The sequence below is a fragment of the Homo sapiens genome, chromosome 1, assembly GCF_000001405.40.
Source record: "Homo sapiens chromosome 1, GRCh38.p14 Primary Assembly".
Taxonomy (NCBI): Eukaryota; Metazoa; Chordata; class Mammalia; order Primates; family Hominidae; genus Homo; species Homo sapiens.
The window spans coordinates 156,323,139-156,336,392 of NC_000001.11; the positions used below are offsets into that span (position 1 = coordinate 156,323,139).

At 45.9% G+C, this 13,254-nt stretch overlaps 1 protein-coding gene across 4 annotated transcripts in view, besides 2 other annotated features; it reads right to left on the reverse strand.

Annotated features, from left to right (window-relative positions):
• Nucleotides 1–13,254, reverse strand: part of CCT3 (chaperonin containing TCP1 subunit 3) — a 29,325-nt gene that overhangs the window by 14,171 nt on the left and 1,900 nt on the right. For 3 of the 4 annotated variants that reach the window (NR_036564.2, NR_036565.2, NM_005998.5), the window contains 5 exons: nucleotides 12,689–12,750; nucleotides 11,730–11,780; nucleotides 11,575–11,637; nucleotides 10,409–10,505; nucleotides 1,834–1,951 (listed from right to left, as the gene is read on the reverse strand). Coding sequence is in view for 2 of the 4 variants with exons in the window: in NM_005998.5 (NP_005989.3) it covers nucleotides 1,834–1,951; nucleotides 10,409–10,505; nucleotides 11,575–11,637; nucleotides 11,730–11,780; nucleotides 12,689–12,750 (391 nt within the window). In the remaining 2 variants the exon portion in view is untranslated. The remainder of the gene's footprint in view (nucleotides 1–1,833; nucleotides 1,952–10,408; nucleotides 10,506–11,574; nucleotides 11,638–11,729; nucleotides 11,781–12,688; nucleotides 12,751–13,254) is intronic. The other variant, NM_001008800.3, reaches the window with a different exon arrangement.
• Nucleotides 4,096–4,942: an enhancer, noted in NCBI's record as "H3K27ac hESC enhancer chr1:156297025-156297871 (GRCh37/hg19 assembly coordinates)". NCBI's record gives its function as "activates a minimal SCP1, AML or CMV promoter by ChIP-STARR-seq in naive H9 embryonic stem cells {active_cell/tissue: H9 hESC(naive)}" and the evidence as "EXISTENCE:reporter gene assay evidence [ECO:0000049][PMID:30033119]".
• Nucleotides 4,943–5,788: an enhancer, noted in NCBI's record as "NANOG-H3K27ac hESC enhancer chr1:156297872-156298717 (GRCh37/hg19 assembly coordinates)". NCBI's record gives its function as "activates a minimal SCP1, AML or CMV promoter by ChIP-STARR-seq in naive H9 embryonic stem cells {active_cell/tissue: H9 hESC(naive)}" and the evidence as "EXISTENCE:reporter gene assay evidence [ECO:0000049][PMID:30033119]".

The following is a 13,254-nucleotide window of genomic DNA, read 5'->3' on the forward strand; positions in this document are numbered from 1 at the left end:
TCTACTAAAAATACAAAATTAGCCGGATGTGGATGCACATGCCTGTAATCCCAGCTACTCGAGAGTCTGAGGCAGGATAATCACTTGAACCTGGGAGGTGGAGGTTGCAGTGAGCCGAGATCGCGCCATTCATTGCACTCCAGACTGGGCAACAAGTACAAAAACTCCGTCTCAAGAAAAAAAAAAAAGAGCAGGCAGTATAATATAAACCTCACCAAATTACTAAACACTTATGCATCTAGTGACTCAACCATATGAGTAGAATATTTAAATAAAGAAAAAAAAAACTATTTCCAGTTGGGCGTGGAAAAAATATACATTTTTATTTTTATTTATTTATTTTTGAGATGGAGTCTCGCTCTGTCGCCCAGCCTGGAGTGCAGTGGTGCAATCTCTGCTCACTGCAAGCTCTGCCTCCCGGGTTCATGCCATTCTCCTGCCTCAGCCTCCCAAGTAGCTGGGACTATAGGCACCTGCCACCACGCCCGGCTTATTTTTTTGTATTTTTAGTAGAGATGGGGTTTCACCATGTTAGCCAGGATGGTCTCAATCTCCTGACCTCGTGATCCGCCCGCCTCCGCCTCCCAAAGTGCTGGGATTACAGACGTGAGCCACCGCACCCAGCCCTATTTTTATTTTTTTTGAGATGGAGTTTTGTTGTTCGCCCAGGCTGGAGTGCAATGGTGCGATCCTGGCTCACCACAAACTCCGCCTCCCGGGTTCAAGTGATTCTCCTGCTTCAGCCCCCCGAGTAGCTGGGATTACAGGCGCATGCAACCACACCTGGCTAATTTTTGCATTTTTAGTAGAAATGAGGTTTCACCATCTTGGCCAGGCTGGTCTTGAACTCCTGACCTCAGGTGATCCACCCGCCTTGGCCTCCCAAAGTGCTAGGATTACAGGTGTGAGCCACCATGCCCAGCCCAAGTCTTACTTTTTATTTTTTTGAGACAGAGTCTCACTCTGTCACCCAGGCTGGAGTGCAGTGGCACAATCTCGGCTCACTGAAACCTTCGCCTCCCGGGTCCAAGCGATTCTCCTGCCTCAGCCTCCTGAATAGCTGGGATTACAGGCGCCTGCCACCATGCCCAGCTAATTTTCTGTACTTTTAGTAGAGACGAGGTTTCACCATGTTGGCCAGGCTGGTCTCTAACTCCTGACCTCGTGATCCACCCACCTGGGCCAAAGTGATGGGATTACAGGCGTGAGCCACCGAGCCCTGCCAGGTTTTACTTTTTAAACAAAAATTTTTATTCAAGACACTGCTCTACATGACTCTACGTGATGTTAAACCTTAACTAAAATTCCCTGAAGCTAGAGGTAATATATGCTTTTCTTTTTTTTCTTCTGAGATGGGAGTTTCGCTCTTGTTGCTCAGGTTGGAGTGCAGTGGAGAGATCTTGGCTCACTGCAATCTCCGCCCCCTGGTTTCAAGCAATTTTTCTGCCTCATCCTCCTGAGTAGCTGGCATTACAGGTGTGCGCCACCATACCCAGCTGATTTTTTTTGAGACGGAGTCTTGCTCTGTCACCAGGCTGGAGCACAGTGGGGCCATCTCAGCTCACTGCAACCTCTGACTCCCTGGTTCAGGCAATTCTCCTGCCTCAGCCTCCCAAGTAGCTGGGACGACACGCATGCGCCACCATGCCCAACTAATTTTTTGTATTTTTAGTACAGACGAGGTTTCACCATGTTGGCCAGGATGGTTTCCATCTCCTGACCTCAAGATCCACCCGCCTAGGCCTCCCAAAGTGCTGGGATGACAGCCATGAGCCACCACGTCTAGCCAGGCCTCTCATATTTGATACTACCTATTTCTTGCCCCCAAGATACCTTATTTTCTTTAGGGTGCTGATCATATCATCCAATGCCTTGCGGTAAGCACTGATCACCACTGTTGGGTGCATCTGCTGCTCCAGGAAGTGCTCAGCTACAGACAGCATTTCCCCTGCTGAAAAAGATACAAGCACCATAGTAATATTTAAAGCATCTGGATATCAAGGCAAGTAACTTAATTATTCTTCCAAAAAATACTCTCCTAAATCAGACTCTCCCAAAAGGTATGACATTTGGCCATTCATACTATTCCAAATTCTACACATTGTATAAGACGGCAATTTATACAGAAAACATCCTTGTTGCCCAGGCTAGGCATGGTGGCTCATACCTGTAATCCCAGAAATTCAAGATCAGCCTGGGCAACACAGTGAGACCCTGTCTTTACAAAAAAATTTAAAATTTAGCTTAGTGTGGTGGTATGAGCCTGCAGTCCCAGCTACTCAGGAGGCTGAGGTTAAGAGGATCACTTGAGCCCAGGAGGTTGAGGGTGCAATGAGCCATGACCGCACCATTGCACTCCAATCTGGGTGACAGAGTGAGACCCTATCTCAAAAAATAAAATGATGAAAGACTGATTCTAGGGCTTACTTATTCTTTTGATTTTTTTTTTTTTTTTTTGAGAAGCAGTCTCGCTGTGTCGCCCAGGCTGGAGTGCGGTGGCGCAATCTCTGCTCACTGCAACCTCCGCCTCCCAGATTCAAGCGATTTTCCCACCTCGGCCTCCCAAGTAGCTGGGATTACATGCATGCATCACCACACCCAGCTAACTTTTGTACTTTATTAGTAGAGACGGGTTTTACTATGTTGGTTGGCCAGGCTGGTCTCGAACTCGTGACCTCAGGTGATCTGTCCACCTCGGCCACCCAAAGTGCTGGGATTACAGGCGTAAGCTACCACGCCTGGCCTTCTCTTGATCTTTCTAAAAAAAAATTTCCCTGAAGGCTCTAAAATAAAGAAAAATGCACAAAAGAAAAACTGACTTGTTTATTAGTACCTTTATACCTTAGGATGTAGTCAAACTGCTTGAACTAAAAACAAAACACACAAAACCCTACCTCTGAAAGAATATTCAGGGCTGGATGCGGTAGCTCACACCTGTAATCCCAGCACTTTGGGAGGCTAGGGTGAGCAGATCACCTGAGCTCTGGAATTTTTAGACCAGCCTGAGAAACATAGCAAAACCCTGTCTCTACGAAAAAATTCAAAAATTAGCCAGGTATGGTGGCATGTGCCTGTAGCTACTTGGGAACCTGGGCTGGGAGGACTCATTGAGCCCAGAAGGTCAAGGCTGCAGTGAGCCGTGATCACACTATTGCACTCCAGCCTGGGCAATAGAGCAAGATTCTGTTTCAAAAAAATAAAAAATTAAAATTAGAAAATGTGCACAATTAAGGCTGGGTGTGGTGGCTCACATCTGTAATCCTAGCACTTTGGGAGGCCAAGGCAGATGGATTACCTGAGGTCAGGAGTTCATGACCAGCCTGGCCAACATGGTGAAACCATCTCTACTAAAAATACAAAAATTAGCCAGGCATGATGGCACATGCCTGTATTCCTAGCTACTCGGGAGGCTGAGGCAGGAGAATCGCTTGAACCAGGGAGGCGGAGGTTGTGGTGAGCCAAGATCGTGCCATTGCACTCCAGCCTAAGCCACAGAGTGAGACTCCATCTCAAAAAAAAAAAAAAAAAGAAAAAGAAAAAAAAAAGAAAATGTACACAATTTACCCTCTGGATAAGGGATTATTGGTAAAACATCTCCTTCTTTTAAAATTTGTCTTTACTTTCTGGCTGGGAATGGTGGCTCACACCTTGTAATCCCAGCACTTTGGGAAGCCGAGGCAGGCAAATCGCTTGAGACCAGGAGTTTTGAGACTAGCCTGGACAACATGGTGAAACTGTCTCTACCAAAAATACAAAAATTAGCCAGGTGTGTTGGTGGGTGTCTGTAATCCCAGCTAGTTGGGAGGCTGAGGCACAAGAATTGCTTGAACCTGAGAGGCAGAGGTTGCAGTGAGTGGAGACTGTGCCCAGGCACCCCAGCCTGGGTGATAGAGTGAGACTCTGTCTCAAAATAAATAAACAAATAAAATTTGTCTTTACTTTCTAATAGACACACACAAAATAACATATACATAGATGCAAACCCACACACAAAAAAGCTTGTTTCTAGAAAAAGTATAAAGAGAGTATTGTAAATATTCTTTTTGTCAAAAGCCTTTTGCACAAATTGCTTGTACTACCTGCTTACTGGCAGGTAAAATAAGCTTTTAAAAATGTACATAGCCTCTCGCCTCTCCCCTCTCCCCTCTCCCTCTCCACGGTCTCCCTCTCCCTCTCTTTCCACGGTCTCCCTCTGATGCCGAGCTGAAGCTGGACTGTACTACTGCCATCTCGGCTCACTGCAACCTCCCTGCCTGATTCTCCTGCCTCAGCCTGCCGAGTGCCTGCGATTGCAGGCGCGCGCCGCCACGCCTGACTGGTTTTCGTATTTTTTTGGTGGAGACGGGGTTTCGCTGTGTTGGCCGGGCTGGTCTCCAGCTCCTAACCGCGAGTGATCCGCCAGCCCCGGCCTCCCGAGGTGCCGGGATTGCAGACGGAGTCTCGTTCACTCAGTGCTCAATGGTGCCCAGGCTGGAGTGCAGTGGCGTGATCTCGGCTCGCTACAACCACCTCCCAGCCGCCTGCCTTGGCCTCCCAAAGAGCCGAGATTGCAGCCTCTGCCCGGCCGCCACCCCGTCTGGGAAGTGAGGAGCGTCTCTGCCTGGCCGCCCATCGTCTGGGATGTGAGGAGCCCCTCTGCCTGGCTGCCCAGTCTGGAAAGTGAGGAGCTTCTCTGCCCGGCCGCCATCCCATCTAGGAAGTGAGGAGCGTCTCTGCCCGGCCGCCCATCGTCTGGGATGTGGGGAGCACCTCTGCCCCACCGCCCCGTCTGGGATGTGAGGAGCGCCTCTGCCCAGCCGCGACCCCGTCTGGGAGGTGAGGAGACCCTCTGCCTGGCAACCGCCCTGTCTGAGAAGTGAGGAGCCCCTCCGTCCGGCAGCCACCCCGTCCGGGAGGGAGGTGGGGGTCCAGCCGCCCCATCTGGCAGGGAGGTGGGGGGGTCAGCCCCCCGCCCAGCCAGCCGCCCCGTCCGGGAGGTGAGGGGCGCCTCTGCCTGGCCACCCCTACTGGGAAGTGAGGAGCCCCTCTGCCCAGCCAGCCGCCCCGTCCGGGAGGGAGGTGGGGGGGGTCAGTCCCCCCGTCCGGGAGGGAGGTAGGGGGGTCAGCCCCCGGCCCGGCCAGCCGCCCCATCCGGGAGGTGAGGGGCGCTTCTGCCCGGCTGCCCCTACTGGGAAGTGAGGAGCCCCTCTGCCCGGCCACGACCCTGTCTGGGAGGTCTACCCAACAGCTCATTGAGAACGGGCCATGATGACAATGGCGGTTTTGTGGAATAGAAAGGCGGGAAAGGTGGGGAAAAGATTGAGAAATCGGATGGTTGCCGTGTCTGTGTAGAGAGAAGTAGACATGGGAGACTTTTCATTTTGTTCTGTACTAAGAAAAATTCTTCTGCCTTGGGATCCTGTTGATCTGTGACCTTACCCCCAACCCTGTGCTCTCTGAAACATGTGCTGTGTCCACTCAGGGTTAAATGGATTAAGGGCGGTGCAAGATGTGCTTTGTTAAACAGATGCTTGAAGGCAGCATGCTCGTTAAGAGTCATCACCACTCCCTAATCTTAAGTACCCAGGGACACAAACACTGCGGAAGGCAGCAGGGTCCTCTGCCCAGGAAAACCAGAGACCTTTGTTCATTTGTTTATCTGCTGACCTTCCCTCCACTATTGTCCTATGACCCTGCCAAATCCCCCTCTGCGAGAAACACCCAAGAATGATCAATAAAAATAAAAATAAAAAAAAAAAATGTACATGTTATTCATTAGTATGTGCTCCAGTGTTTGAATTCAATATATTTTGTTTCAATTCCAAAGTGTCAATCATGTATATTGAAAGAAAAATAATCAAAAAATACAGTCACGTACCATTTAATGTTTCAGCCAACAATGGACCACATATATGACAGTGGTCCCATAAGATTATAATATCATATTTTTACTGTACCTTTTCTATGTTTAGCTATGCTTATTATACAAATACTTACCACTGTATTATAACTGTATTCAGTACAGTAACATGTTATACAGCTTTGTGGCCTAGAAGCAATAGGCTATACCATACAGCCTAAGTGTATAGTAGGCCGTACCACCCAGGTTTGTAAAGTACACTCCATGAAGTCTGCATAGTAATGAGACTGCCTAATAACGCATTTGTCTCAGAACGTATCCCCATCTTTTTTTTTTTTTTTTTTTTTGAGACGGAATCTTGCTCTGTTGCCAGGCTGGAGTGCAGTGGTGTGATCTGGGCTCACTGCAACCTCCACCTCTCAGGTTCAAGTGATACTCCTGACTCAGCCTCCCGAGTAGCTGGGACTACAGGCACGCGCCACCATGCCCAGCTCATTTTTTGTATTTTTAGCAAAGACAGGGTTTCACCATGTTGGTCAGGATGGTCTCGAATTCCAGACCTCGTGATCTGCCCACCTTGGCCTCCCAAAGTGCTGGGATTACAGGCGTAAGCCACCGCGCCCAGCCCATATCCCCATCATTAAGCAGCATATTATTGCATTTTAAAAGATGGCTGAGTGGCTGGGCATGGTGGCTCACGTCTGTAATCCCAGCACTTTGGGAGGCTGAGGTGGGAGGATCACCTGAAGTCAGGAGTTTGAGACCAGCCTGACCAACATGGTGAAACCCCGTCTCTACTAAAAATACAAAAATTAGCTGGGCATGGTGGCGGGTGCCTGTAACCCCAGCTACTTGGGAGGCTGAGGCAGGAGAATTGCTGGAACCCGGGAGGCAGAGGCTGCAGTGAGCCAAGATCGCGCCAGTGCACTCCAGCCTGGGCGACAGTATGAAACTCTGTCTCGAAAAAAAAAAAAGCAAAAGCCTGAGTAAGATAACTTAGAAAAGGATATACCCTATTAAGAAATTATTAGAACTGTAACAGAAGATTTCTTTAGGGCTGGTCAAGTGTTCTTTTTCACATTCTTAAATCCATCTACATCTAAGATACTTAGACTCATGGATACTTATTCTACCCACTATCTCTAGATGATTCAACTGAAATTATCAGCTAGAAAATTTTCTCTGATATGTAAAGCTCATGTTCTATTACAAAAAATAAAAAATAAAAAAGAGTATGAAATCTTTCCTCCCTCCTCTTTCATCCTTCCAGGTTTTCCCTAAAAGTCCATAACTGGCTATGTTCTGAATCCTCAAAAGAACTGGATCTAAAGATGGACTAGTTGACTGTGACTCTCAAGGACATTTTTATTCAACTCACCATTCTTAAAATGCAGTACAATAGGGCCAGGCGCTATGGCTCACGCCTGTAATCCCAGCACTTTGGGAGGCTGAGGTGGGTGGATGACCTGAGGTTGATAGAGTTTGACACCAGCCTGGCCAACATGGTGAAACCACACCTCTACTAAAAATACAAAAATTAGCTGGGCTTGGTGGCATGCGCCTATAATCCCAGCTACTCAGGAGGCTGAGGCATGAGAATCACGAGCCCAGGAGGCAGAGGTTGCAGTGAGCCAAGATGATGCCACTGCACTTTAGCTTGGGCTACAGAGTGAGACTCTGTCACACAAAAATAAATAAATAAAATTTAAAAATAAAAATAAATAAATAAGGCCAGGCGTGGTGAGACCAGCCTGGCCAACATGGTGAAACCCCATCTCTACTAAAAATTAGCCAGGCACAGTGGCGGGCACCTGTAATCCCAGCTAACAGAAAGGCTGAGACAGGAGAATCACTTGAACCCCAGGGGTGGAGGCTGCAGTGAGCCAAGACTGTGCCACTGCACTCCAGCCTGGGCGACTCTGTCTCAAAGATAAATAAATAAATAAATATAATTTGAAAAATTAGCTAGGCTTAGCCAGGCACGGTGGCTCACAGCCTGTAATCCCAGCACTTTGGGAGGCTGAGGCAGGTGGATCATGAGGTCAGGAGTTCAAGACCAGCCTGGCCAATATGGTGAAATCCCGTCACTATTAAAAATATAAAAATTAGCCGGGCGCGGTGGTGGGCATCTGTAATCCCATCTACTCAGGAGGCTGAGGCAGGAGAATCGCTTGAACCCGGGATCAGAGGCTGCAGTGAGCTGAGATTGCACAACTGTACTCTAGCCTGGGTGACACAGCAAGACTCCATCTCAAAAAGAAAAACACTTTGGGAGGCTGAGGCAGGAGATTGCTTGAGCCCAGGAGTTTGAGGCAAGCCTGGGCAACATGAGACCCCATCTCTACGAAAAATAAATAATAATAATTTTGATTAAGAACTTTATTTTTAGGTATGTGGGCCAACACTATAAATTAGCATCCCTTGGCTGGGCGCAGTGGCTCACACCTGTAATCCCAGTACTTTGGAAGGCCGAGGTTGTCAGATCACCTGAGCTCAGGAGTTCGAGATCAGTCTGGCCAACATGGTGAAACCCTGTCTCTACTAAAAACACAAAAATCAGCCAGGCGTGGTGGCGCATGCCTGTAATCCCAGCTACTAGGGAAGCTGAGGCAGGAGAATCACTTGAACCTGGGAGGTGGAGGTTGCAGTGAACTGAGATTGCGCCAATGCACTGCAGCCTGGGCGACAGAGCAAGACTCTGTCTCAAAAACATAAATAAATAAATAAATAAATAAATAAAATTAGCATCCCTTATTTTAAAATAGTCCCTCTCAGGCCAGGCGTGGTGGCTTACACCTATTATCCCAGCACTTTGGGAGGCAGAGGCGGGCAGATCACCTGAGGTCGGGAGTTCGACACCAGCCTGACCAACATGAAGAAACGCCGTCTCTACTAAAAATACAAATTAGCCAGGCATGGTGGCCCATGCCTGTAATCCCAGCTACTTGGAAGGCTAAGGCAGGAGAATCGCTCGAACCCGAGAGGGGGAGGTTGCGGCGAGCCGAGATTGTGCCATTGCACTCCAGCCTGGGCAACAAGAGTGAGACTCCATCTCAAAAAAAAAAAGAGACATGGTCTTGCTTTGTTGCCCAGGTTGGAGTGCAGTGGCACAAACACGGCTCACTGCAGCCTCAACCTCCTGCCTCACCGACCTCAGCCTCCCCAGTAGCTGGGACTACAGGTGTGTGCCACCACATCCAGCCGATTTTTATTTTTTACAGTGACGCGGTCTCTCCATGTTGCCCAGGCTGGTCTCGAACTCCTGACCTCGTGATCTGCCCACCTTGGCCTCCCAAAGTGCTGGGATTACAGGTGTCAGCCACCACACTTGGTTGCAATCAGATTTTTTAAAACCAGTGTTTCTAGTATAAAAATTTTACTATCATCTTGACATTTACACAATAAAGGCAATAGGCCAAGATTTGAAAAATAATTCTTTATGATCCTATAGGAAGTAGAAAGATTAGTCTTTAAACTTACATAGCCCAGGGTCATTATCCTAAAGATTTCATTTCTTATTATTTGTAACCCCAAAATCAACATTCATGACACTTTCATAGTCATTCATGGAAATTCACAGAATGGCAAAAAATTTGAGTCACCCAATGACATTCCTAGGTGAGGTTAAACAAGGCCTTTAGCTCTCACACTGTAAAAAAAAGTGTCCTTTATGCAGTATATTTAAGGTTATGTTTTTCACATTTTTCTTGATGATTTCGGTATTTATAATGGCTCACAAGTGTAGTGCTTAAGTGCTAGCTAATGCTTCTATGTGCAAGAAGGCTGTGATGTGCCTTACAGAGAAAATACGTTAGGTGAGCTTTGTCCAGGCATGAGTTATATTGCTATGGGCTATGAGTTCAATGCTAATAAATCAACTATATATATTAAATGGGTGTCTTGAAGACAAACACATACAATAAGGTATATATTTATCAGTTGATGAAAGTGTGACCAGAGGCTTATAGGTATCTAACCCTGTATTTCCTATAGAAGCAATGATTTATTATTTGCCAATTCAGTGTTTGTGGTGACTTTATAGGCGTGGTGGCTCACGCCTGTAATCCCAGCACTTTGGGAGGCCAAGGAGGGCGGATCACGAGGTTAAGAGATCGAGACCATCTGGCCAACATGGTGAAACCCTGTCTCTACTAAAAATACAAAAATTAGCTGGGCGTGGTGGCACGTGACTATAGTCCCAGCTACTTGGGAGGCTGAGGCAGGAGAATCGCTTGAACCTGGGAGGCAGAGGTTGCAGTGAGCCAAGATCGCACCACCACACTCCAGCATGGTGACAGAGTGAGACTCTGTCTCAAAAAAAAAAAAAAAAAAGAATATTATAACTTACAGTGAATAAAGAGAATTAACTATTAGTTTATCAGCCAGATTTGCATAGCTCACCCTATTCATATAAATGTTTTATACCCAACTGGAGAGAATACATAGAAAATAACCAATAAGCTATTTAAATATCTGTAATTAGTGGATCTGTAACAGAATTTCCTTCTTAAAATATGACACAGGTGTTACTTCTAATTTTTCCTTATCAACCTCTTATTCTCCTCTTACCAAGAATAATTACTGATGTGGTCCCATCTCCAACCTCTTCATCCTGGGTCCGGCTAATTTCGATCATGGACTTGGCCGCTGGATGCTGGACTTGAATCTAAAAAGGTAGATCACTAGTGAATTCACACTATTCAAAGACCTCTGAACTCATGAAGCTTGGCCCTAACTCTTGGGCTTCTTGCTTCTATACGTACTTACTTTCCCTTTAATGTTTTACCATATCTTGAAAGATTAAAATTGGCACCCCAAATAGCTTAAGTAAACCACTTTCCAAATCCTTTTTGGGAAAAAGTGTATTACATGAACTCAACTATTAAAGCTGCCAGAGGACAGAACGATATCTTTTAGCTTATTTACTGGAAGCACTATTGTGGCTGAATTGTGTTCTTCAGTAAGATACGTTGAAGCCAGCTGGGCATGGTGGCTCACATCTGTAATCTCAGCACTTTGGGAGGCGGAGGCAGGTGGATCGCCTGAGGTCAGGAGTTCGAGACCAGCCTGGCCAACATGGGGAAACCCTGTCTCTACTAAAAGTACAAAAATTAAGCCGGGTGTGGTGGCATGCGCTTGTAATTCCAGCTAATCAGGAGGCTGAGGCAGAAGAATTGCTTGAACCCATGAGGCGGAGGCTGCAGTGAGCCGAGATCACATCACTGTACTCCAGCCTGGGTGACAAGAGCGAGACTCCGTCTCAAAAAAAAAAAAAAAAAAGATATGTTGAAGTCATAACTCCCAGAACCTGTGAATTTTACTTTATTTTAAAATAGGGTTTTTGCAGATGTAACCAAGTTAGATAAGGTCATTCTGAATTAGGGTGGGCTCGAAGACCAATCACCGGTGTCCTTGTGTAAGAGACACACAAGGGGAATAACATGAAGACCAAGGCAGAGACCAAGTTCATGCCAAAGAAAGCCAGCAACCATCAGAAGGGAGAAGCGGAGTTCTTCCCTAGAGACTTCAGAAGGAGCATGGCCCTACTGACGCCTTTATTTCAGACTTCTAGCTTCATTCTATAAGATAATAAATTTCTGTTGTTGAAGCCAACCAGTTTCTGGTAATCTGTTATAGCAGCCCTAAAAAACTAATCAGAGCCTGTATCTTAACAGGTCCTTTATGTTTACAGAACTGTCAGAAAGCAAAAAAACAAAACCAAAAACAAAACACACCTCTCGAAGAATGGCATTGCCATCATTGGTCATCACAATGCCTCCCATTGGGTCCAAAAGCATCTAAGATGAAAGCAAAAGTTATATTTAAAGTGTCCTAGATAACAGGAAGAAAAAAATTGTAGCCTAAGAGTTTTAGGAAGAGATAAGCCTACCTTCATCATGGACTTGGGTCCCAAACATGTTCGGATGATATCTGCAATAGTCTAATGGAAAGGGAACATAAAATACGCAAGCACAAATCAGAGGACAGTGTGAGAAATGTTGGAGTAATAGGGAAAAGGGGCATGAACAACCCACAGAGTCAGTGTTTTATTTTATTTTAATTTTATTTTATTTTTAGATATGGGGTCTCACCATGTTGCTCGGGCTGGTCTCAAACCCCTGGGCCCAAGTGATCCACCTGCCTCAGCCTCCCAAAGTGTTGGGATTAGAGGCGTGAGCCATTCCGCCCAGCCAGAGTCAGTGTTTTTAATGACACCCCTAAAGCATGGTTAGCCATCACTTTAGACATAGCATGCCACTTTAGATATAGGATGTGGCTAGCTCTGTTGTTTTTCTCCCCTTGGGAATGCTTTCAGAATGGATACAGAAATGACTTTTCACAAGAATAAGGGGGAAATGGCTCCCAGAGCTTGTTTCCCAGCAGTCCTAATTACTAGAAGTCCATGTCTTAGTATTTCTTTCCATGACGGTGGCCTCTACACCATCCTAAATCAGATATAAGGCTATTTCACTATTTCATTCAAAAGACATTTACCGAATATCTATCCAAGATCTACGGTGGGCACTAGGAATACAAAAGGGAATAAAGTACTTATGTTCAAGTAACTCAGTTTAGTATGGGAGACAAACACAAATAGAATACTATAAAACAATACACAGCAACAGAATAATGCACAAGTTAATACGAGAAGATTATCAGTCCTAACTCAGAAGGGGAGGGCTTCCTTTCCCCTAACATCATCAGGAAAATGTTCTGAAAGAGGTCAACTTTTCCTCTGCCTATTTGCCTACTCTATAAAGTCTAGATGCACAGGACACATGGCTATGACCAAATACCAGGAAAGATAGCTGGAGGCAAACTACCATAAACACTTAAAAGATTTGTGACCTTGGCAGCATTGATGTTTCCAGATTGAACTTTTCTTCCGGATTCACGCTTTGTGTTCTGGCCTAAAATAGACAAAAACACAAGTCAACAGCCCAGGACTGCCCCATCGTACACAAGCTATTTATTTCCCCGTCTTTGAAAAATAAGAATGCAGGTTTCATGGTATATCCACAGAGCAAAGCTTATCAAACTCTACACTTTAAATAAGTGCAGTTTATTATATGTCAACCATATCTCAAAAAACTGTAAACATATGTCCTTATGGCTGTTAACTTCCTTCTGTATTTCAATCCTTGGTATATTAAGAAATAACTTTGGAATCTTGGTTAATACTTTTCTTCTAACCAAATATTCCTATATTTACAGCAGGGATTCATAACCTGAGATCTATGAATGGGCCTTAGTGGGATAGCGAACTCCCTGAGATTATGTGAGAAAATGAGAGATACTGCAATTTTTTTTTTTTCCGGAAAGAGGATCCACAACTATTATCAGATTCTCAAAGGGCTGGTGACCCTAAGAAATGACCATTCATTGCTTTGCGTAAGCAGGGAAAGAGTTTGGGG